Raw genomic sequence first — 1,388 nt, 5'->3', positions numbered from 1 at the left:
ACTTTAAAGACCACCCAACTGAGCCTTGGCCCAACCCCCTCGTTTTAGAAGTATGAAAACTTAGGCTCAAAGTGTCAGGTGACTTTCCTGAAATCACACAACTGGCCAGTCAGAATTTACACTAGAACTTAGCTTTCAATACTTAGCTAAGGCATTTTATATAAATGAAGTGATGCCATAAGTGTGGATGTTAGTATTTTATTTTTTATTAATTAAAATGAGCAACAAATGCAAAAGGCCATAATTCTTCTCTCAATATAAGTTGGAAGAGTTCCTTTTAGGAAATAATGACTTGTCTTGCATATCATTCAGCAACTGAGCATTTATGTGATGGGTAAAGGCCAAATCTCACCCAGATTTGTAACATATAGGCAGGTCAGCATTTCATTTTGAGGTGGTTTCCTAGGGCCTACCATTACAAGCCTGCATCTTCTGTCTGGATAAACCATAATGTGGCTTTTATGATTAAAAAATGAGACAGAGAGAATTTTGCTTTCTTTATTATTGGTCATGTATCATGTAAGCACTATCCGAATATTTTCCACAATGATTGTAGCTCTCTCCTCAATTCCTGTCTGATAGTCCAAACAGCATGATCCTGGAAAATATACAGCTGGTGTTAGTAAAAGAAACATGCATAGGACACGGCCATCAACATCCAGACAAGCCCCTAAGAGAAAAACTGGGACAGTTCCAGGTAAAAGAGTGGGGTAACGTTGATTTATTTTATACCTTGACTGGGGCAGAAATTGTGGTCCAGGTCCAATAATATTCATTTTCACTTTATTTGTGATGTAAAGGATGCATTTCCCTCTGATTTATTTGCATATACACATACATATATATGTCTATCACCACAAGGAGCAAGCAGGATTTCTTTTTTTTTTTTTTTTTTTTTTTTTTTTTTAGGACATGGATGACATTGGAAATCATCATTCTCAGTAGACTATCACAAGAACAAAAAACCAAACACCGCATATTCTCACTCATAGGTGGGAACTGAACAATGAGATCACATGGACACAGGAAGGGGAATATCACACTCTGGGGACTGTTGTGGGGTGGGGGGAGGGGGGAGGGATAGCATCGGGAGATATACCTAATGCTAGATGACGAGTTAGTGGGTGCAGCGCACCAGCATGGCACATGTATACATATGTAACTAACCTGCACAATGTGCACATGTACCCTAAAACTTAGTATAATAAAAAAAAAAAAGCAAGCAGGATTTCTAAACAAAGAGGTTTTAAGCAGAGATCTGTGACTGTTACGCATTCTTCTTTCCCATTGCAGATTTGCCATCTTTCTTTTTCAAAGGGGTACCTTGGCTGGCAGTACTTTGCTTCAGGCAGTAAATCATGGCCACAGTCTTCTATCAGTCTTCTTCC

The 1,388-nt window shown here is 38.7% G+C and overlaps 1 long non-coding RNA gene across 1 annotated transcript; it reads right to left on the bottom strand.

Annotated features, from left to right (window-relative positions):
* Positions 1 to 484: 484 nt before the first annotated feature.
* Positions 485 to 1,388, bottom strand: LOC124909465 (uncharacterized). The gene is made up of 2 exons (XR_007096184.1): positions 1,324 to 1,388; positions 485 to 598 (listed from the first exon to the last, which is right to left on the bottom strand). It is a non-coding gene; the product is annotated as an uncharacterized LOC124909465 (long non-coding RNA).

The sequence above is a fragment of the Homo sapiens genome, chromosome 3, assembly GCF_000001405.40.
Source record: "Homo sapiens chromosome 3, GRCh38.p14 Primary Assembly".
NCBI classification, from domain to species: domain Eukaryota; kingdom Metazoa; phylum Chordata; class Mammalia; order Primates; family Hominidae; genus Homo; species Homo sapiens.
This window is presented reverse-complemented; position numbering and strand designations above follow the sequence as displayed.